General features: G+C 48.2%; 1 long non-coding RNA gene and 2 pseudogenes across 1 annotated transcript, besides 2 other annotated features; all 3 read left to right on the plus strand.

The window, feature by feature from the left end:
* The first annotated feature begins 620 nt into the window (after positions 1 to 620).
* Positions 621 to 1,242, plus strand: LOC105377799 (uncharacterized). The gene is made up of 2 exons (XR_002956660.1): positions 621 to 886; positions 992 to 1,242. It is a non-coding gene; the product is annotated as an uncharacterized LOC105377799 (long non-coding RNA).
* Positions 10,919 to 11,276, plus strand: VPS51P14 (VPS51 pseudogene 14; annotated as a pseudogene).
* LOC107986875 (translation initiation factor IF-2-like) lies at positions 10,919 to 22,847 on the plus strand (annotated as a pseudogene).
* Positions 17,007 to 17,766: an enhancer, noted in NCBI's record as "OCT4-NANOG-H3K4me1 hESC enhancer chr8:6946581-6947340 (GRCh37/hg19 assembly coordinates)". NCBI's record gives its function as "activates a minimal SCP1, AML or CMV promoter by ChIP-STARR-seq in primed H9 embryonic stem cells {active_cell/tissue: H9 hESC(primed)}" and the evidence as "EXISTENCE:reporter gene assay evidence [ECO:0000049][PMID:30033119]".
* Positions 20,040 to 20,733: an enhancer, noted in NCBI's record as "H3K4me1 hESC enhancer chr8:6949614-6950307 (GRCh37/hg19 assembly coordinates)". NCBI's record gives its function as "activates a minimal SCP1, AML or CMV promoter by ChIP-STARR-seq in naive H9 embryonic stem cells {active_cell/tissue: H9 hESC(naive)}" and the evidence as "EXISTENCE:reporter gene assay evidence [ECO:0000049][PMID:30033119]".
* Positions 22,848 to 23,487: the final 640 nt, after the last annotated feature.

A 23,487-nucleotide genomic window follows, 5' to 3' on the forward strand; every position in this document is an offset into this window, starting at 1 on the left:
TGACCTCCGGGACCAGCCTTCGGCCATCCGTAGACTGGGAACTATACATGGATGGGAGTAGCTTCATCAACCCACAAGGAGAGAGAGGTGCAGGGTATGCAGTGGTAACCCTGGACACTGTTGTTGAAACCAGATCATTGCCCCAGGGCACTTCAGCCCAGAAAGCTGAACTCATTGCTTTCATTCGGGACTTAGAACTCCATGAAGGTAAGACTGTCAACATTTACACTGATTCTCGGTATGCCTTTTTAACCTTTCAAGTGCATGGAGCATTCTAGAAAGAGAAGGGCCTATTGAACTCTGGGGGAAAAGACATAAAATATCAACCAGAAATCTTGCAATGATTTGAAGCAGTATGGAAACCCCACAAGGTGGCAGTTATGCATCGCAGAGGACACCAGCGAGCCTCCAACTTGGTGGGCTTGGGGAATTCCCGCGCTGACTCAGAGGCTCAAAAATCAGCATCTGCCCCCTTCCGGGCATCAGTCACAGCCCCTCTGCTCCCTCAAGCACCTGATCTTGTACCTACTTCTTCTAAAGAAGAAAAGGACTTTCTCCAGGTAGAGGGAAGGACAAGTGATGGAGGAAGGATGGATTCAGTTACCAGATGGGAGAGTAGCTGTGCCACAGCTACTGGGAGCTGCAGTTGTACTGGCTGTGCAGGAAAAAACCCATCTAGGTCAGGACTCACTGGAAGAGTTGTTAGGCCGGTATTTCTACATCTTGCATTTGTCAGCTCTTGCCAAAACGGTGACCCAGCCGTGTGTTACCTGCCGACAGCATGATGGGAGTCAAGGTCCAGCCGTTCCGCCTGGCATATGAGCTTATGGAGCAGCCCCCTTTGAAGATATCCAGGTAGACTTCACAGAGATGCCAAAGTGTGGAGGTAACAAGTATTTACCAGTTCTTAGGTCTACCTACTCTGGGTGGGTGGAGGCTTATCCGACACGAACTGAGAAAGCTCATGAAGTAACCTGTGTGCTTCTTCGAGATCTTATTCCCAGATTTGGACTGCCCTTATGGATCGGCTGAGATAACGGGCCTGCATTTGTGGCTGACTTGGTACAGAAGACGGCAAAGGTATTGCGGATCACACGGAAACTGCATGCTGCCTACTGGCCTCAGAGTTCTGGAAAGTTGGAGCGGATTAATCGGACTATCAAAAATAGCATTATTGTCTTCTCCGCTGGTTATTAAAAACAATAACACAAGGGGCGTCAAACCACCTGCCCAATTAGAGGGTATGTTAACCTCTCCCCTCCTCCTCCACCGCCCCCATATATTAGAGACAGCAACACAGGGGTGATGTACACCCACTGCTTTATTGGGAGTAATATCATCCTCTCCCTTCTTGGATATTAGGAACAATACCACAGTGCGTGTATACGTCTGTCGTGAAATTCGATATAATGTCATCCTGTGCCTCCCTAGATATGAAGAACAATATCACAGGGGATGTACAATTTCTGAGATATTGGGAGTGATATCATCCTCTCCCCTCTGGAAGTTAGGGACAACATCACAGGGGTAGTGTACACCCTCTGTGATGTTGTGACTAATGTCATCCTCCCGCCCCCTGGATATTACAAACCATATCACAAGGGGCGTGTACACACACTTCGATATTGGTATTAATACCGTCCTCTCCCTCTTTGGGTATTCGGTGCCATATTTCAGGTGGGGTATACGCCACCTGCAATATTGGAAGTTCTATTATTTTCTCCCCCCGTGGATATTAGCAACTATATCACAGGGGGTGTGAAAAACCCCCTCGATATTTGGAGTAATATCGGTCGTCTCCCCTCATGAATGTTAAGAACAATATCGTGAGGGGGCTTGTACACCCCCTTTGATATTTGATATCATCCTGTTTCCCCCTGGATATTAGGAACAATGTCAGGAAGGGATGTACAGACCCTGCGACACTTGCTGTCATCTAATTGTCTCTCCCCTAGATATTAGGAAAAATGTAACTGGGGATGTGAACAGCCCTGCGATATTGGGAGGAGTATCATCCTTTCCCCCCTTGCGTATTAGGAACAATATCACAGGTGGGGTGTACTGCCTCTGCGATATTGGGTGTCAAATTATCCTCTCTTCCCCTGGATATGAGGAAGGGTATCAGAGGGGGAGGGTGTACATTCCCTGAGATATTCAATGTAATCTTATCCTCTCCCTCCCAGGGTATGAAGAACAATATTACAGGAGGGGTGTACACCCTCTGCGATATTGAGAGTCATATCATCCTCTTTCACTCTGGATTTTAGGAACAATATCACAGGGTTTTGTACACCCCCTGCGGTATTGGGAGTAATATCATCCTCTCTCCCTCTGGAGATTAGGAAGAGTATCACAGGGCTGTGTATACCCCCTGCAGTAGTGGGAGTGATATCATCCTCTCTCCCTCTGGATGTGAGGAAGAGTTTCACAGGGATGTGTGCACCCCCTGCGATACTGGGAGTAATATCATCCTGTCGCCCTCTGGATAGTAGGAAGAGTATCACATGGGTGTGTACACTCCCTGCAACGTGGGGAGTAATATCATCCTCTGCCCCCTGGATGTTAAAAAGCAAATCACGGGGGTTGTGCACCTGCTGCGATATTGGGAGTAATATCTTCCTCTCTCCGCCTGGATAATAGGAGTAATATCACAGGGGTGGTTTACATCCCCTGCGATATTGGGAGTGATATCATCCTCTCTCCCCCAGGATATTAGGAAAAACATCACAGGGGGGTGTCCACCCCCTGGGATATTGGTGTCAAACCCCCTGTGATATCAGGAGTAATATATCATCCTCTGGCCCTCTGGATATTAGGAACAATATCACGGGGTAGGGGGTGTACACCGTGCTATATTGAAAGTAATATCATCCTCTCCTTTAGAAACGAAATCACAGTGGGTTGTACAGCTCGTGCGACATTGGTAGTAATATCGTTCCCTCCTTGCCTGGATATTAGGAAAAATATTACAAGGGGGTTGTACACCACCTGCGATATTTGGAGTCATATGATTCTTTGCCCACCTGGATATTAGGAAAAACATCACGGCGCGGGGGTCGTGGAAAACCCCGGCTATTTTGAAAGTATCATCCCCTTTTTCCCCGGATACTATGAACAGTATCACAGGAGGGATGTACACCTTCTGCGATAATGGGAGTCATATTATCCGCTCCCTCCCTGAATATTTAGAAAACGTCACAGTGGGGTGTACACCCCTGCGATATTGGGAGTAATATCATCCTCTCCATCCAGGAAATGACTAACAAGGTCACGGGGGGGTGTACTCCCCCTGTGATACTGGGAGTAATGTCGTCCTCCCCAAACCTGGATGTTAGCCACAGGATCACAAAGGGGGTGTACACACCCTGCGATATTGGAAGTAATACGATCCTCTCCCCCCGGATATTGGGAAAAATATCACAGTGCGGGTATACATTTCCTACGCTGTTGGGAGTAATATCATTCTTTTCGTCTCTGGATGTCAGGACCAATATCACAGAGGTGGTGTACATTTCCTTCGATATGGGGAGTAATATCATCCTCTCCCTGCTGGGATATTAGGAACAATATCCCAGGGTTGTCCACCCTCTGCAATATTGGGAGTAATATCATCCTCTGTTTCCCTGGATATTAGACACAATATCACAAAAAGGTGTACACCCCCTGCGATATTGGGAGTAATATCATACTCTCCTTCCCTGGATATTAGAAAACAGTATCATCAGAGGTGAACACCCCCTGCGATAATGGGAGTAACATTTTCTCTTTTTTTCTTTTCTTTTTCTTTTTTATTTATTTGTTTATTTATTTTTGAGACAGAGTTTCACTCTTGTTGCCCAGGCTGGAGGGCAATGGCACGATCTCGGCCCATTGCAACCTCTGCCTCCTGTATTCAAGCGATTCTCCTGGCTCAGCCTTCCGAGTAGCTGGTATTACAGGCATGAGCTACCACGCCTGGCTAACTTTTTTTTTTTTGTATTTTTTTGTATTTTTACTAGAGACCTTTTTTCTCCATGCTGGTCAGGCTGGTCTTGAACTCCCGACGTCAGGTGATCCGCCTGCTTCGGCCTCCCCAAGTTCTGGGATTACATGCATGAGTGACCGCGCCCAGCCAGCACTTAACATTTTTATTTGACATCTGTTGAAGTTATAGATTTATACACACATTGATTGCTGTTTTATTATACACTCGCATATACATAAGATGGGAAATAGAAAAGAATAAAATGGGCACAGTATCCCTAAAGTTTCACGTTCTGAGACATTTTAAAACTATATGCTTTTTAGAAACTTGTTTCAATTAAGAAACTCTGGTATACACACACAATGAAGTATTATTCAGCCTAAAAAGGAAGAAAATCCTCTTCACTGCAGAAAAAATGGGTGAGATTGTAGGTCTCTATGTTAAGTGAAATAAGCCAGGCACAGAATGACAAATATTACATGTCCTCACTTCTTTGTAGGAACAAAAAAGAAAATCTTGCCCAGGTGTGGTGGTTCAGGCCTGTAATCCCAGCGTTTTGGGAGGCCGAGTCGCACGGATCACTTGAGGCCAGGAGTTTGAGACCCACCCTGCCAACATGGTGAGACCCCATCTCTACTAATAACACAAACAATGAGCCGGGTGTGGTGACGTGTGCCTGTAGTCTCAGCTACTCGGAAGGCTGAGGCCCAAGAAGCGCTTGAACCCGGGAGGCGGAGGTTGCAGTGAGCCCGGATTGTGCCTGTATACTCCAACCTGGGCAACAGAAAGAGACTCCATCCCACACACACCTACACACAGAAGGAATCTCAGGAAGGTGGAGAGTATAAAGGGGGTTAGCAGACGCTAGGAAGAAAAGGGGTGGGATGGGGAATGAAGACAAGTGGATAATTGGGCCCCAAAATACAGAAAGATGGAATAAATGAGTTCTAGTGTTTGATAGTACAGTATGAATATTTTAGTTCACAAGAATTTCTTGCATATTTCCAGATGCTTTGGTAAGAAGCTTCCTAACTTTCTCATTATGCTGGTTTTTAAGCTCTTCTCTTTCTGCTCTTGATATCGTGCTGGTTTTTTTGTTTTTTTGTTTTTTGTTTTGAGATGGAGTTTCACTCTTGTTGCCCAGGCTGGAGAGTAATGGTGCAATCTTGGCTCACCGCAACCTCTGCCTCCTGGGTTCAAGCGATTCTCCTGCCTCCACCTCCCGAGTAGCTGGGATTAGAGGCATGTGCCAGCATGCCCAGCTAATGTTGTATTTCTAGTAGAGATGAGGGTTTCTCTCTGTCGGTCAGGCTGGTCTTGAACTCCTGACCTCAGGTGATCCACCCGCCTCGACCTCCCAAAGTGCTGGGATTACAGGCGTCAGCGACTGTGCCCGGCACATGCTGTATCCTTATCTGTTGTCTGTTGTTGTTTGTTTGTTTTTGAGCCCAGAAATAACTTCTCACCTATATGTTCAAATGATTTTTAACATGAGTGCTAAGAAAGCTCATTGGTGGAAAAGCAGCCTTTTCAAGAAATGGTGTCGGAGAAACTTGATTTCCACATGCAGAAGAATGAAGGTGGACTCTAAGTCACACCAGGTGCAAAAATTAACACAAACCAGATCAAAGACCTAACCCCAAGCACTAAAAGTATCATATGCCTAAAAGAAAACATTGGCCACACTTTCATGACATCAGATTGGGCAATGCTCTCTGGGATATGACACCAAAAGCATAGGCAACAAAAGAAAATTAGATTCCTTGGATTACATCTAAATGACAGACACTTTTGTGCAGCAAAATCACGGCAAACTGAGTGAAAAGATAACCCATGGATTAGGAAAAATATTTGCAAATCATATATCTGAAAAGAGGCTGATATCCATCATATATAAAGAATGGCTAGAACTAAGCAACAAGAAACTCAAAGCATCCCATCAACAATGGTCAGAAGACTCGAGTAGACATGTCCCTAAAGAAGATATCACAATGGCCAATAAGCATCTAAAATGATGTTCAAAATCACTCATCATAGGGAAGCGCAAATCAAACCAAGAATGTGATACCACACATCAGGATGGATATGATAAACAAACAGGCATTGGTGAGACTAGAGGGAAGTAGGAATGCTCGAATATGATCGGAGGGAATGTAAAACCGTGAAGGAACGGGGAAAATAGTATGATGTGTACTGGAAAAATCAGAAGCAGAATGATCAGATGTTCCCGCAGTTGCATTTGTGGGTACCTACCAAAAACAATTAGAAGCCAGGAGTGTAACACAGATTTGTGTACACCCATATTCATAGCAGCATTATTCACAACAGCCAAAATGTGGAAGCAACCCAAGGGTTCATGGACAGAAAAATGGAAAAGCACACTGCAGTTCATTCATACCGTGGAAGACTATTCAGCCTTCAAAAGGCAGGCACTTCTGGCCGGCGTGGTGGCTCACGCCTGGAATCCCAGCATCTTGGAAGACCGAGGTGGATGGATCACCTGAGGTCAGGAATTCAAGGCCAGCCTGGCCATCTTGGTGAAACCCTGTCTCTAAAGAAAATGCAAAAAATTAGATGAGCGTGGGGGCATGTACCTGTAGTCCCAGCTACTCGGGAGGCTGAGGCACAAGAATCGCTCGAACCCGGGAGGCGGAGGTTGCAGTGAGCCCAGATTGTGCCACTGCACTCCAGCCTGTGTGACAGAGTGAGACTCCATGTAAACACAAAACAAAACAAAGTCAAACTAACAAACAAACAAAAAACAAAATAAAAAAAAACAGACAGGCACTTCTGATGCAGGCCGCAACATGGATGAAACTTGAAGACATTGTCGTCAGTGAAATAAAGAAATCCCAAAAGGATAAACACGACCAGGCTCAGTGGCTCACACCTGTAACCCCAGCACTTCGGGAGGCTGAGGCAGGCGGATCACTTAAGGTCAGGAGTTCAAGACCAGCCTGGCCAATATGATGAAAGCTTGTCTCTATTAAAAATACAAAAATTAGCTGGGTGTGGTGGCACACGCCTGTAATCCCAGCTACTCAGGAGACTGAGACACAAGAGTCCCTTGAACCCGCGATGTGGAGGTTGCAGTGAGCCGAGATCACACCACCGCACTCCAGCCTGGGTGACAGAGAAAGACTGTCTCCAAAAAAAAAAAAATTAAACACGGTATGATTCCACTTATCTATCAAGTGTCTAGAGTAGTTAAACTCATAGAGTTGCAAACTAGAATGGTGACCCCCAGGGGTGGGTGAGAGAGAGGAGTGGAGAGGTTGGAGAATGGGTGCAATTTCCATTTTGAAAGATAAGACTCTTTCAGAGATGATGGCAGTGATGGTTGCTAAACAATGTGAATGTACTTAATGTCATTAAACTGTAAACTGAAAAAGAGTGGAAATTGTAAATGTGTATACTGGCCATTCTATATGAACTAATATATATTTATAATTTTTAATATTTATACGTGGTATATTTTCCCATAATAAAAGATGAAAATTAAAACAGTTGGATCTTTAAAAAGAAAAGAAAGAAGCGAATAATACACACCAGCTTTCTCCTGATTAGAGGAAGAGCCCCAAAGCTTCTATGCACATTCACTTTTCTCTTCTTCTTCTTGCATTATTATGAGGAAATTCTTAGAGGTTGGGGAACTTGAGCGACTTTGGCTAATGAGGAGCTCTGTGCCTTGAGCCCCCGAGGCCACAGAATAGTAAATATTCAGTCTGTGCCTCCAGCCCTGCAGTGTGAGGTTCCAGTCCTGTGGGCTCCACACCCATCACCTGTATTAGGAGGCTCATGTCTCACCCTGTCTTCTGGCCAGCCTTGAGGACGGAGTCTGAGCCTCAATCGTGCAACACCCAGGGAGGACAGTGGACCTGTTCTCTGTGGTCATGGCCCAGCAGAGGGGAAGGGCAGTTCAGTGAGTGTAGGGAAAAGAAAGAGAGATCAGACTGTTACTGTGTCTATGTAGAAAGGAAAGACATAAGAGACTCCATTTTGAAAAAGACCTATACTTTTAAAAATCACTTTGCTGAGATGTTGTTAATGTGTAGCTTTGCCCCAGCCACTTTGACCCAACCTGAAGCTCACAAAAACATGTGGTGTATGAAATCAAGGTTTAAGGGATCTAGGGCTGTGCAGGACATGCCTTGTGAACAAAATGTTTCCAAGCATTATACTTGGTAAAAGTCATCGCCATTCTCTCGTCTCATTAAACCAGGGGCACAATACACTGTGGAAAGCGGCAGGGACCTCTGCCCTTGACAGTGGTATATTGTCCAAGGTTTCTCCCCATGTGATAGTCTGAAATGTGGCCTCGTGGGATGAGAAATACCTGACCGTCCCCCTCCTGACACCCGTAAGGTCTGTGCTGAGGTGGATTAGTCAAAGAGGAAAGCCTCTTGCAGTTGAGAGAGAGGAAGGCCGCTGTCTCCTGCCTGCCCCTGGGAACTGAATGTCTCGGTATAAAACCCGATTGTACGTTTGTTCAATTCTGAGATGGGAGAAAAACCTCCCTATGGTGGGAGGTGAGACATGTTTGCAGCAATGCTGCCTTTACTCCACTGAGATGTCTGGGTGGAGAGAAACATCAATCTGGCTTACGTACACGTCCAGTCATAGTACCTTCCCTTGAACTTCATTATGACATAGATTCTATTGCTCACATGTTTGTTGCTGACCTTCTCCTTATTATCACCCTGCCCTCCTACTACATTCCTTTTTGCTAAAATAATAAAAACAATAATCAATAAAAACTGAGGGAACTCAGAGGCTGGTGCCAGTGCAGGTCCTTGGTGCACTGAGCACCGGTCCCCTGGGCCCACTGTTGTTTCTCTATTCTTTGTCTCTGTGTCTTATTTCTTTTATCAGTCTCTCATCCCACCCAACTAGAAATACCCACAGGTGTGGAGGGGCAGGCCACCCCTTAAAGTGAGTGCTGAGGGGCGGTCAGGAGGCTTGTTTTCTTTCCTCCTCATCAGGACAAACAGGAGAGTGCGGTGGACAGATGGGAGGAGATCAATGTGCAAACTGTCTGCTCAGCAGACTGTGGAGTTTCTGTTCTTCTTTGTGGTGGGGTCTCAGAAATCTTATTCAAAATGTTGCTTTCCTCCCCCACTGGTTGCCTTTTTCACAGACATCTCACCCATGATAGCAGGGAATGAGTCCCTCTAAACTATTCCCTCAGAACAACAAAAAGATGATGAAGGTGATGATGAGGATAAAGAGGATGATGACAGACACCATGGCATCATGAACCCTTACTGAGGGCTTCCTAAAGGCCAAGCTCTGAGCTCTGTGCTCTATGCAGCTTGTTTCATTTCATCTGCATAGTCTCCCAGTTATTAGTGCACATTTCATGATAATTTTACAGACTAGAAAAGGAGCAACGCATTTTCATAGAACTCGTACCAGATCATGAAGTCAAAAAGGGTGAAGTCCAATTTGAACCAGGCAGTCTAAGTCCAGACACATGGCATTTGGCCAGTCCTCTCCCTGCATCCAACCTGCCCTCTCAAATCCTTGTCACTCAGGCGGTTGCCCCTGCTCACTGTGCCCTTCCCTTTGGGGGTTCCTTGTAGACCACAGCTAGACCAGTGGGTGCCGCAGTCACTGTGTCAAGTATGGAAAGGACAGCTGAGATCACATCAAGGATTCCAGAAAGAATTGGCACAGGATCATTCAAGATGCATCTCTCCGTTGCCCCTGTTCCTGGCTTTCCTTCAACTTCCTCAAAGGGGACATCATTTCGGAGTTTGGCTTCCATTCCTACTGAGGAAGCTGGAAAGCATTTCAAAAATTCTCCTCCGATGTTCCTGTGGTTAAGACCTCTGAGCTCTGCTTAAAACTTTTTGAAGCTGGGCGCGGTGGCTCACGCCTGTAATCCCAGCCCTTTGGGAGGCTGAGGCAGGCGAATCACAAGGTCAGGAGTTCGGGACCAGCCTGGCCAACATGGTGAAACCCTGTCTCTACTAAAAATACAAAAAAAAAAAAAAAAAAAAAAAATTAGCCAGGCATGGTGGCGTATGCCTGTAATCCCAGCTACTGGGGAGGCTGAGGCAGGAGACTTCTTTGAACCCGGGAGACAGAGGTTGCAGTGAACCGAGATCACACCACTGCACTCCAGCCTGGGTGACAGAGCAAGACTCTGTCTCAAAAAAATAAATAAATAAAAATTAAGAAAAAAAGTGCTTGGAAGGGCTTGGTAAACTTTAGCCATTAGCTCACGTACCACTTTGGAAGGGCAGATCTTCAGTCACTTCACCCTTGAATCCCTTTGCTCAAGACTAAAGTTCTGAGAGGAAGTCTAATCGGCTGAGTTGTGTCCATGTGGGCAGTGCAGGAAAGGATGCAGCGGGAGGCGGCTCCAGGGACGTCTTTGGCTTCCATCGTGGGGAAGCAGGCGCCTGGATTATCCACCCTAACAAATCTGGACAAAGGAAAACGAGGTTCTCTCAGGAAGGAGACATAGAGCCCAAGGAGCTCACCAAGAGATAAATAGTCATCCTGTCTTGTCATTTTCTTTTACACATGTGTGTACATTATCTTACAGTTATCACTTTGTTTTCTTTCTCTCCTTTAATTGCACCCTGCTGCCAAAAGTTAAAATAACATGAAAATGTTGAGATAGCTCAGTAACTGACTTTTGGTCAATTGCCTTTTCATATAGTGAACAGCTGCCCAAATAGTTGCCTCTGTCACTGTGCAAATTTGCAAGTGTTTGCATGATCACTCCCAATCCCCCAAGACAGGGCTGTGTTACAGCACAATTTAGTTCAGTGTTTTGCTCTCCGCAACAGGGAGGTTCTCATCCATTACAGGTTGCAGTAAAAACAGGGGTACCATAAGCAACCACCGCTTTCCTCAATGATGTGATGAAAGCAAAAGCCAAGTAGCTTGATGTATGCAACTTAAAAATATAAAAAGTTACGACCATGGGTTGCAGTTGGAGCTATGGCGGCGGCAGCTGCCACTGGCACTAGCCCGGGGTCTGGACCTGGGGACTCCCCAGAAGGGCCTGAGGGGGAGGCTCACGGAGCGTCGGTGGAAGGCGCACAGAATGGTAAAGCTTTACTAAGGCCTCTCGGAAGGGGAGGCAGCGGGACTCCCCGCGGGGCCCGACCTCCTGGACCGCACTGATCTGAACAGGGCGCACTTCGACCCGGAAGTTTACCTAGACAAGCTGCATAGAGTGTGCCCTCTGGCCCAGCTGATGGACAGTGAGACGGACATGGTGCGGCAGATCCGGGCTATAGACAGCGACATGCAGACCCTGGTCTATGAGAACTACGACAAGTTCACCCCAGCCACGGAAATTGACAAACAGCATAAAACTGTATGAGGAATTGCAGGAGACCCAGAATTTCCCAAATAACCTTGTAAAAGAACAAAGTTGGAAGATTCACACACACACACACACACACACACACACACACACACACACTATATATATATATATATAAAAATAAAGTTTTGTTTTCATTCAGTTGTAAATATTTAGTAATTTCTATTGTGATTTTTCCTTTAACTCATGAAAGGATATTTTTAATTTTCCAAATGTATGCTTGTGTTTAGCTATCTTCTTGCTGTTGACTTCTAATTTTGTTGCATTATGGTGAGGAAATTGTGGTCTGGACAATGTCAATCGTATAGTGGATTTTGTTGAGACTTCTTTAGGGGCCTAATATGTGGCCAGTTTTTTTTTTTTTTTTGCAAATGTGCCACATATGGTTAAAAGGAATGTGGATTATTTGTTTTTTAGGGGAGTTTTTATTTTTAAATAGATAAGGTTCTCAGTGTAATTGAAATCTAGCTTCAATTAACAATATGCTAGATCTCTCAAACCTTAGGATGTTAGTCAATGTAACACTGGACAATGCTGCTGAGACAAATAAACCCTGAATTCTGAGTTGGTTGGCACCCATAGCATAATCTGGTGCAGGGCAGGGGTTCTCCTTGGGGGCCCTTGTCCAACAGTGATTCAGAGATCTTGGAGGTTTCCATGTTTTAATTCTGCCATCTCAGAGTTTTTCACTTGTAGCCATATGGATAGGAAGAGAGGGAACATAGCTCACACTTGCCTTTGGTAACCTTGGCCCAGAAGTGATTTCTTCTTTTCCTATTTGTGGAAATGCAGTCACATGGTTCCAAACTAACTGCAAGTGAGGCTGGGAAATGTAGTCTTTCTGCATGTCCAGGAAGAGGAATGGTGTGAACGCAGCATTGTCTTTGACACACTAAGCATATGCTGAAGAGTTCTTACTCTCATAGGAGGTTTGTCTGTCCTGTGTAACTGTCTCAGTTTTTGCTTAGATAGTTTCAGGCAATGTTGTTTGGTGCATTCAGCTTGATGATTATTATGTCCTCTTGGCAAAGTAGTCAAGATTCCCATCAGTTTGAATGAAAGTGTCTTACAGAGAGGGCAGGAAATGTTAATACTTTAAAGGGCCCTTCTATTCCTCCACTGTACAGATAAGAACAACAGAGTCCTAGAGAGAGGAGGTCATGGGTCTCACTCATGAGTGGCAGAATTGAAACCAACATGGCAGTAACTTTGCCTTTCCCCCATCATGTTGTTCTCCGTCTATCTTCACTCTGCTGATTTCTTCACTTGCTCCATACAGACCCCCCAGTGCCAAGTATATAAGGAGTGATTAATCTGAGCTTCTCCAGAAAGTCCATTCCTGGTAGGCACTGGGAATAAGAAATCTCAGAATATGAAATAACATCAAGGGGTAGCACTTTTGTGAATGGCTTCCAAATTAGTTCCTTTACCTTTTTCAGGCTTAGCCTGAGATGAAGCACATATTACAGAAATGTTCTCTCTATAGCATTACCTATTAGTCTAATGAGCATGAAAAAGAGGAGAGGGGACATGCTCTCTCTAGCTATTATTACCTCCACTATAGAGTTGACATACACAAACTCATTATTGCATTATGTTTTATTCAACAAAATAAATTTAATGTTGTAGTTTAAATTAAATTCGCTGAAACATCTTTATCTCCAGCATAATGTGCCTCAAGTGCCTTCTTGGTGACTGCATTTTCTCCAGAATTAGAGTACTGAAGCTATGTAATGGTGAAATTATATGCAATCTGCAAAACGGTGTGGCTATAACATCATATTTGGCCTTCCACGTAATTAAAGGAACATTTCCTCCTCAGAGCTTTTCCATCAGAGACCCAAAGGCTATCATTGTACAAATCACCCACTTAGGAAAACCTTTATTCCCAGTAGCCTATAAAAATCTGGTTATGCAAACAGATTTGCTTATTCAGTAACATTAATAGCTCCTCATGGTTAAAAAGTCCTATAATCTGTTTCCTCTGTGACCAAGTGTCGTTTTTATTTTGACATTTGGGAGCCTTTTGACTCCTTTACAGCTGGCAAGAAGGCACAGGGAGGGAACTCTCAAAAACCAACAACCTATGTATTCCCAGCCTATTAATCAATAGAAAATCACTTCAACTGGATTAGGGTCTTGTACCTGGCAGAAAGGCTCTTATGGACATTGGAATTGGATTTTAACACTTGGTATGGCAACTCCTTGAATCAGATCAGATTCGTGTTTGATAGACTCTTGCCAAAAAATTGCTCCAGGTTCTGTGCAGTAGCTAAAGACTTTTCGTTGTTGTTGTTTTAAAAGCAGCATTAAATGTTTTCGTGAAGACCTTCCCAGCAGTGATTTTATTGTGAACATGGTCTTTAGCTCTGGTCCTGTATAACTCACACTGAGGAAACCTCTAACAAGTGTTTTATTGGAAGATGTCTGATGGATGGTTGCTTTTAATAACAAATCTCTTCCCTTTTTCTGTCCCCTGTGTTCTATTCTCCTTTCTCTACACGTTATTCAGGGAGGATTCACCTATTCCCAAAGTCCTTTCCTCTTTATTTCCATTCCAGAGCTCTCTGTATAACTCCAGGTTGATGAATGCAACTGCCCACTGTTTATCTCCACTTGGCTGTCTGTCTTGCATTGATCTCATCTTACCTTGCCTCTCCTGATTTCCTCTTCGGCCTGGGCTCGCCACATCAGATCCACACCACCATCCACCCAGCTTCCAAAACACCTGGGCCTCCTCCTTCATTCCTCCCTCTTTCTCAGTCAAGTTAGTCTACTGTCTCCTCTCCATCCTCACTGCCACAGCCTTGGTCCAGCCAACCATCTTGTCTCACTTGGTGTATTGCAGCCTCCTACCTGGTCTACTCACCTCCCACTCTCCTTCAGCCAGACTGCTCTTCTTCTAGCACAAAGTGGATCATGACTCCCCTGCCTAAAAACATCTACTGTCTCCCTTTGTCTACAGGATAAACACGACAAAGAGCCTTTAAGATTTGGCTCCAACTTACCTCTACATTAGTCACTTTTTACAATTATATGAACATCTCTCAGCTCCTCACCCTCTCACGTCTCGATTTTTGCACATGCTCTTCCCTCTGCTGAGAATGATCTTCCACACCTCTCCTATCGACCTGGCTAGTTCCTACCATTTTCTAGTCTTCAACTGAGGAGTCCTGTGGTGGAGAAGGATTTCTCACCACCTGATAGAGATTGCATGCCCACCCACCTCCGGGCTTTTTTTTTTTTTTTTTTTTGACGGACTCTCGCTCTGGCCACCCAGGCTGGAATGCAGTGACGCGATCTTGGCTCACTGCAATCTCCGCCTCCCGGGTTCAAGCAATTCTCCCACCTCAGCCTTCTGAGTATCTGGAATTGCAGGTGACCACCACCACATCTGGCTAATTTTTTTGTATTTTTAGTAAAGACAGGATTTCACTATGTTGGCCAGGTTGTTTTCGAACTCCTGGCCTCAAGTGATCCACCCACCTTGGCCTCCCAAAGTGCTGGGATTACAGACATGAACAACTGCACCTGGCCGATTGGGTGCCCCTTCTATGTGCTCCCATTGCCCCAGGCATACTGTCACCATAACTCTTACCATTCTGAGTTGAAAATGATTTTTTTTTTTTGCTTTTTATTTCTCTCATTAAATGCAAAGCTCATTGAAAAGAGGACAGTGGTTGTTCACTGTTGTACTCCTAACCTTTGACTCAGTGTCCTGAGGTTGGCTCTAGAGCTGTGCACACATGTTCAGACATTGGAGCACATCTTGTCTAGCACCTCTTTTGAGGTGGCTTAGAGAAAAGTCAGTAGGTACTTCCCCAAGGATGAAACAGAAGCTTCACCTAAACCAGTTCTGCAACTGCAGCCTGCATTAGCATTCTCTGAGAGCTTGTTAAAAATGCAGTCTCCTAGAGCCCACTCTTCAAGAGTCGGTGAGTTGCTTCATCATCAAAATATATACAGAATTCAGCCAGTCTTCAGCGTCAGCCTGGTCTGAGCCACTGTGGACTCCCACCTGCAGAATGTCCCTGCTGGTCTCCTTGCTTCTGCTCTTACCTTCTAATTACCCATTCAAGTAGCCAGGGTGATCCTTTTAAAAATTTTTTAAATTTTTTTTGAGATGAAGTCTCACTCTGTTGCCCAGGCTGGAGTGCAGTGGTGCTATCTCAGCTCGCTGCAGCTCTACCTCCTGGGCTCAAGCCATCCTCCCACCTCAGCCTCCTGGGTAACTGGGACCACAGACATACACCACCACACCCGGCTAATTTTTGTATTTTTTGTAAAGACACGGTCTTGCTATGTTGCCCAGGCTAGTCTTGAACTTCTGTGTGCACCCACCTCAGCCTCCTGCATTTTTAGGAGGCCCCTCTTGTAGGGATTTTGATCCAGAGGACTGGGTGCCTCATGTCTCCTCCCATCTCTCTCTTCTTTCTGTCTCTGTCCTCTCTCTCTTTCTCTTTGCCTTATAGCTGCCCTGGGAACTAGACTCTGCCTTAGGCATCCCTCTGACTCTTGTTTGCTTTTACACTGAGGCTGTTTTAAGTTGCACCTTGATCTGAAGCCTTGGGCTTCTGTTCCTATTCCTTGCTTTTGTTGGAAGGGCCGTGCAGCTTCTTGACAAATTGCAAAGGTGCCTACGAGTTTCCAAGTCCCCAAGAACCAAGCCAGATGACAAACAAAGATGCAGCCCACAGCTGGGGAGACAGATTTCATGTCCACACAGAGACTCCAAGATGCTGAACTGAAATCCACCCCGAAGCCTGTTTTCTCTCTCATTTCAGTTCAATGTCAGCTGGGGGCTTGCAGGGCAGGGCTGGTGACCATTCACAGGGCAAAGATGCTTTGAAATGTCAACTGAGAATGGTGTGGTGGTTGACAGATGGCACGACAGAACATAGATTAACATGGAAAGAGAAACTCATCCCTTGGGGGGAGTGTGTGAGGCTGGCAGCCACACAGAGGGCTTTTGCTGTGAGCTCTTGCAGAGACATAAACAGCCAGGAGGTTTTGCTTTCTGAGCCTGAGTGGAAGCATGTTCCTCCCTGCACATTGCCGCTCTGCTGCAAATGTTTATTCCCGTTGCATTGATTAAAAGTGCTTACCAGGCCGGGCGCGGTGGCTCACGCCTGTAATCCCAGCACTTTGGGAGGCCGAGGCAGGCAGATCACAAGGTCAGGAGATTGAGACCATCCTGGCTAACACGGTGAAACCCCATCTCTACTAAAAATACAAAAAATTAGCCGGGCATGGTGGCGGGCACCTGTAGTCCCAGCTCCTTGGGAGGCTGAGGCAGGAGAATGGCATGAACCCAGGAGGCGGGGCTTGCAGTGAGCCGAGATTGTGCCACTGCACTCCAGCCTGGATGACAGAGCAAGACTCCGTCTCAAAAAACGTGCTTACCGAAGGGGTTTGAGGGCAGTGGTGACAGTGTGAGTTATGGCTCTGCTGGCTGCCAGTGGAGCCAGTCGCTCTGCGCAGCCGTGCAAGGGTGTTTTGAAAAGTGGCTCAGCCGGCCAGGAGTGACTGGGTGTAAATATTGCTGCCACTACATACTGTAGCCTGATTGGGGCCGTGTTTGCAGAACCCCTAAACCACTACACTTGTTCAGGCTTAAAAATAAGCTTACTTTTTTGGTTGTTTTGTTTTGTTTTATGAGATGGAGTCTTGTTCTGTCACCGGGTTGGAATGCAGTGGCATGATCTCGGCCCACTGCAACCTCTGCCTCCTGCGTTGAAGTGATTCTCCTGCCTCAGGCTCCCGAGTAGCTGGGACTACAGGCCTGTGCCATCATGGCCAGCTAATTTTTGAATTTTTAGTACAGACGGGGCTTCACCATGTTGGTCAGGATGGTGTGATCTCTTGACCTCGTGATCTGCCTGCCTTGGCTTCCCAAAGTGCTATGATTACAGGCGTGAGCCACCATGCCTGGTCAAACATAAACTTACTTTCTTACCTCTTCTGCTGAACTCTATTTGCTTCTTTTCTCAACTTCTGCTGAACTCTATTTTGCTTCTTTTTCCTGGATAAAGCTCTTCTTTATCCAGAAGACTTTTAGCAACAAAGTTACCCAATGCCCTTCCCTAGTCTCTCCTTGCAACTGGCTCTCGGGTTGGGGTGGGGGGGGTGTGTAGGAGGAAATCCTTGACAGAACCAATTTACATGACTGTTTGGAGTACTCTGGCTAGCCCCAGGAGGTGTTTGCATTTTTAAATTGGTTAGTAGTGTCAGAATGTTTCATGAGTAAGAGCCCAGCCTCTAAGTTGGATACCCTGAATTTAAATCTCAACATGGCCACTTTGTATATAACCAGAGGTTGGATTTGGGGACCCAATGGATCTACCATGACATGAACTTGCACCAACATTCACCTGACCTCCAAAATGCCTATTCTGACTAGTAGACCCTAGTCTCACCCTAGTGCCAGTTCAGAGCCTGTGTCCAGTGATCCTGCACAGGTCCCATTAGTTCCTTTTCTCCTATTCAGTCATCCTGGTAAAAGGCTGTGTATTCCCTTGGGCGCAGGCTGGGAGAAAGATGGACAGTATTAATTTTTGGCAGTGTAGCAGAGTCCTTTCTGGAGGGAACCTGGCTTCCCATTCAGACAAGTGACTCCGGGTCTGTGAACTGGCTCACGTCTGGGAATTGACGGGAGACTGTGACTCTGTTTTTATGATTCAGATTACACTTCTGCTCACCTGACCTAGAACTCTTCTGCAAACACAGATCAAGTAAAAATGTGGCAGGCTTCTTATCTCTTTCACTTCTAGGAAAGCCACGATCAGCTGGCACCATAGGTCTCTGCGAGTCAGGCTATTCTGGTTGCAGCTTTGACTCTGCTGTCTTTTATGGTAACTGCATCCACCTTGCCTTTGGGGATTGAGTGCTGTGACCACTTGGCCCCAGCCCTTGTAGTGTGCCTATGTCATTTACCCTCTTTATATGTCAGTCTCCTCCTCTATAAAATGGGAATCCTCATTGCACCCACCCCCAGGGCTGCTGTGAGGTATAGATGGATTAGCATTTGGAAAGTAATAGAAGAGGGTCTCAAAGCCCATGTGTCGTTATCAGAATTATTTCGTGACAGGGGAGAGCTGGAGGAGAGAGGAAAGAGTTGAGCAGACCCACGTGCTCTCCCACCAGTGTTTCCTGAGCACCTACTATGTGCTGCCCACTGTGAGAGCTGTTAGGGTTGAAATAGGGAGCACAGCAGTGTAGGGGCTGCCATCAGGAGCTCAGTGGGGAGACCATTGTGCAACATGGTTCCAGCGCTTGCGGTGGGGAAGCTCAGGGAGTACAGGGGCCTAGGATCCTGGGCAGAATCATGGAAAGGACACAGCCTCCCCAGCCTGTCCTGCCTCCGCTGCCTCCCTGGCCTCCTCTGCATCCCTGGCCTCTCCTGACTTCCTGGCTTCCCCTTACTCCCTGGCCTCCTCTGCATCCCTGGCCTCTCCTGACTTCCTGGCTTCCCCTTCCTCCCTGGCCTCCCCAGTCTCCCCTGTCTCTCCTGCTTTTGAGATGGGCCAGGAGCTGCTGGTGCTCACTTAGCCTGTCCTGGACTCTGGGTGTAGCACTTCGATGTCCAGAAAATACGCCCGGGTTCAGCTCATCACACAGCCAAGGAAGGAGCTCCACACTGACACTAAGGGTGCATCCTGGGCTCATTCATCAGGGCATGCCTCCAAAATATTTCTCCACGTCTCCTCCCTTTGCCCACCTGCACTGTCTCTGTGCCTGAGCCCTGGCTGAGGGTCTGCAAGGATCCCCTATCTCCTCTGCCCCTGCACGGCTGGGTCCCAGGCAATCTGTCCGCCCACCACGCCTGTCGCCCCTTGCCCACCACGCTCCAGCCCCACAGTCCTCTTTCTGCTTCTTTCCCAGCCTCTGGGCTTTTGCACACGCTGTTCCCTCTGCCTGAACACCCTCCACTGGGCTGAGAACAACTCTCTGAGACCTCTCTCAGCTGTTGCTTCCTTTGGAACAGCCGCTGCTGCTGTCCCTCTCCCAGCTGCAAGACCGGCTGAGCCTCCTGTCTTTTTCAGTTCCCATGCCCCCAGCACTTCTCCTTGGCCTCCTTTGGCCGAATTGACAATGTCCATTCTCAATGCCTTCTCACCCAGCGCTGAGCCCCACTGGATGAAGGCAATGCCTGTCATGTTCACCGCAATATCCCCTCCCCCATCACCACGCCTGGTCCACAGTGATGCTCAAAAAAGATCTGTTGGTAGGCAATGCGAAGGTGCATTCATGTCATCCTGCAGGCGGAATTCTCCACGAGTTTTGAGCAGCCTCGGGTTTCCCACCCCCTCCAAATCATGGAAGAAACAGGGTAAGAGCAAAGACAAGGTGGCTGTGGCCGATATCCACCCTATCCGGGCGTCCCTTGTCTTCTCTCCTCCTTGGGCAGGGAGACTATCGGGGTGCAACCTGGCTGGGGCGGGGAGGAGGTGCAGGGCCTGGCCAGAGCGGGCCTGGCCACGGGCAAGGGACAGCGACCGCCTGGGCCAGGACAGGTGAGAGCGGCGCAGTCCCGGGCCCGGCGTGTCCGCGCTGCGCGGGAGAGGCCAGCAGAGGGCGCCAGAGAGCCAGGAGCGGCCCGCGGAGGAGCCCGCGCCAGCCGGATGCCCAGCTCCGCGCCGCGCGGACCCAACGAGCCCGCGCTCAGACGCCCCAGCTCCGCCGAGAGGCCGCTCGCGCCGGGTGCTTCTTCTTCCCAAGTGCAGGCAGAGCCCCTGGAGCCATGGCCAGCCCTTCCGGCAGCTCCGAAGCCACTGGCAAGCCCCGAGGCAGGGATGGCCGGCCCAGGAGGGAGGAGGACGACGTCCCTCCCGAAGAGAAGAGGCTACGGCTGTTGCTGGAGGGGGGAAGCGCACAGCCCGAGGACTGCGAGGACGGGGAGGACGCGCTGCGGCCGGGCAGGGAGGAGACCGGCACCTAGACAGGTGGCGACGGCAGAGGAGTAAGTGACGCGGGCGCGGGGGTCCGGGGCTGCCGGGGGCGCGGAGGTGCCGGGGACGCGGGGTAGAGGCGGCGGGAGGCTCCGTGGCCGGTCCCGGGTTGAAGTTGGTAATTGAGCGGCAAGTCCGGCGGGCGCGGAGTGACAGCTCGTGACGGCCTCCGAGACGCCAGCTGCCCCTTCTCGGCTGTGTGGCTTCGACTTCCTGATTCTCCCACGAGGTCCCTGGCTGGGATACCCGCTGGACTCTGTGGCTGGCCAAAAGGGGAGGGGCAGCCCCGTGTCCTGGGGGCCCCCAGCAGGGGAAGTGGCGGGTGTTGCGCTGGGCATCCTGTCTGGGACATCTGTCTGGGAGTCTGTCGGTGCCTCTCACCTGGCGAGGGGCATGTGGTGGGGGCAGGGGGGAAGTCCCTGGCGCCAGGCTTGGCCAAGCCCTGCTCTGCTGGGCTGCGGGCTGGTGGCGCTCACCCAGCTCCTCACCTGTCCCGCATCTTCCTGTTTTTTTTTCCCTTTCTAGTTGGGCAGCCAGAGTTGAGAGGAGGCAGATGGCTTCCATCCCAGAAATTGTTCTCTTTCCATCCCTACAGAGAGGGACAGAGAGGCAAAGTTCCTTGCATCCCCCGGGGCGCTGTCCCTATGAGCTCCCGGTGTCCTGCACACGTGGGCCCCTGAGTCACCGGGCCTGTGTGTGTGGGATGGGGCTCCGTGGCCAGCCTGGCCTCCTGGGGTTCACTTTCTGCTTTCCTACCCCAACTCTTCCTGTGTGGCTTTGCTGGCCTTCCACTGGGGAGGCACGTGAGTTTGGAGGGCAGATGAAGGCCTGCTGGAGAGCTGTACCCCTCAGTGAGTGCTGCCCCCTTGATGGTTTTTGATGGATAATGGGGTTGACCTCTTTGTTCCTTCCACATGTTTTTATGTTTGACCATTTACTTAACTGAGCTTGTCTTAATAATTGGATTCGTGGTTAATGAGCCCCACATGGGAGAGAGGGCGGCCTGCATTCTGAACCCATTTAGGCAGCACGGGCAGCCCTCCTCGCCGTGGGCTGCATCAGAGCCCCCCTGCCCAGTCTTGGGGTTGCTCCTGGATGCTGTCTGGGAGGCTTGCTCATGGTGACATCCTCATCTCCCTGTGCACGTTACCGCATTCAGAGCTTGGGTCACCTGGACACTGAACTCAGGTGAATTTTCTCTGAGATCCCGGGAGAAGGAGGACAGTTCTCTGGAAGGTTTTCCAGGGCCGATCACGGAAAGGATGAGAAGGGAGAGGTACTGGTCGGGAACACAATTACGGTGGCAGTGTAACACCACGAAACTTTATTGCGTAAAGTCCCTGTCACTCCCTCTACCTCCTTCTTTTACGTGGACTCTGCCAAAGACCAGGATACCATAATGCAGTAGGGTGACCAAGCGTAGTGGGACCTTGGGAACAGGAGTCTGGAGCCAGGCGGCTGGGGTTTGGATCCTGGTTCTGCCCCTCCTTCGCTGGCTGACATGGCACAAGCCACTTACCCTCTATGAGCCTTACTGTCTTCAGTGGCAAATGGATCTGTCTAGAGACCCCAGTGCCTGCGGTTGTTACTGCTGAGATTAAGGGAAACTCGTCCATAGAAGCACTTAGCGTTGTGCCTGGCACATAGTGTATGGCGGATAAATGGGACTTAGGACTGAAACTCATGCCTTAGTGTGTTTTTGCAGTGATGTTTTGTTCTGGGGTGCATCACAAGAGACAAGGTCCTTGGCCTGGCGTGGTGGCTCAAGCCAATAATCCCAGCACTTTGAGAGGGTGAAGGGGGGATCGCTTGAGCCCAGCAGTTTAAGACGAGCCTGGGCAACGTGGTGAAGCCTCATATCTACCAAAAAAACAAAAACAAAAACAAAACAAAACAAAAGCCAAGTATGGTGGTGTGTGCCTGTAGTCCCAAGGACTTTGGAGGTGGAGGTGGGAGGATTGCTAGAGCCTGGAAGGTCGGGCTGCAGTGAGCTGTGATCATGCCACTGCACTCCAGCCTGGGTGACAAAGTGAGATCCTGTTTCAAGGAAAAGACAGAGAGAGAGAGAGAGAGACAGACAGACCCACAAGAGTCTTAAGCCAGAATCTTCATGTTAAAATGCTTTCTGGAGGCTAAAAGGATGATATGTTGATAATGAAATATTTAAAAGACAGAAACCCCACTGAATTGTTTGGTCCACAGAGGGTAATGGGAATCGCATGACCTGAAGCATGATGGAGGAACTGAATAGAAACCATCCTTGTTTCCTGAATCTGAACATGGTACCCTCTTTTCACGGTGTCTGTATCTGCTCAGTCCAGCGGCCCCTCGAAAAGAGGGAATCTTGATTTTCAAACTTAAAATTTGGCCCAAAGCCCACTGCTGCCCACAATGCCCGCCAGACACATTCCTCTTCCTTTTTAGTTTCTATGGGAATACTCTTTCTGAAGAACCCATGAAGCAGTGTCAGGCTGGTACGAGGATCAGCAGTGATTTCTTTGAGGAGGAGAGCCCGTTTCTTCACTCACAGGCCACGTCTGAGTGGATCAAGAAGAACAGAGTGCCCTTTTATGAGATTTTGTCTGCGTAGACCACTAGCTTGGTAAAAATGTCAAAACCATCCTCGTTCCTTAATAGCAGATTATTTTGGACTTTTCTCTGTAAGAAGCAGCATGGGCATTCAGATGCTTTTAAGGGTAAAATGTTCTTTCTCATCACCAGGCCTGGTGCTCAGGATGGCTGAGGTTTTAATGTGACTTGGTGTCCCTTGGAGTGGCTCCCAGGGTGTGATCTTGTGGTTGGGTGGCAAGGGGTTGCTTTATTCGATGGTGTCTAGAGGATGTTTTAGTAGATAAATCGGGACCCCAGGAGCCCCTGTGTTGCAAGTCCTGCTGCAGGGCATGTGTTTATAGTGGGGATGTGGGGGGGTGGAGGGTGGGGGGCATTGATTTCCTGCCAATATCAGAAGTTTCACAGGCTTCTTGTGTATCCACAAACACCGACCCCATTGAGAAGGCCTAGAAAACCTGGCCCTCCCCAAGCCTTTATTGACAACTTGTGAATGATCCCAGGGTGTGTCTGACCCACAGCTCCTCCTGGAGGGAGAGAAAAGTCTCTCCTAGATATTTGGTTATCAACCTCAACCACTTGCTGAGCCTTCCCCAAGACCAGGCATCTTGTCAGAGACTTCTGGGTTGTCAGGCAGAACCGAGCATTCAAGGGTAATAACT

The sequence above is a fragment of the Homo sapiens genome, chromosome 8 (assembly GCF_000001405.40).
Source record: "Homo sapiens chromosome 8, GRCh38.p14 Primary Assembly".
Lineage (NCBI taxonomy): Eukaryota > Metazoa > Chordata > Mammalia > Primates > Hominidae > Homo > Homo sapiens.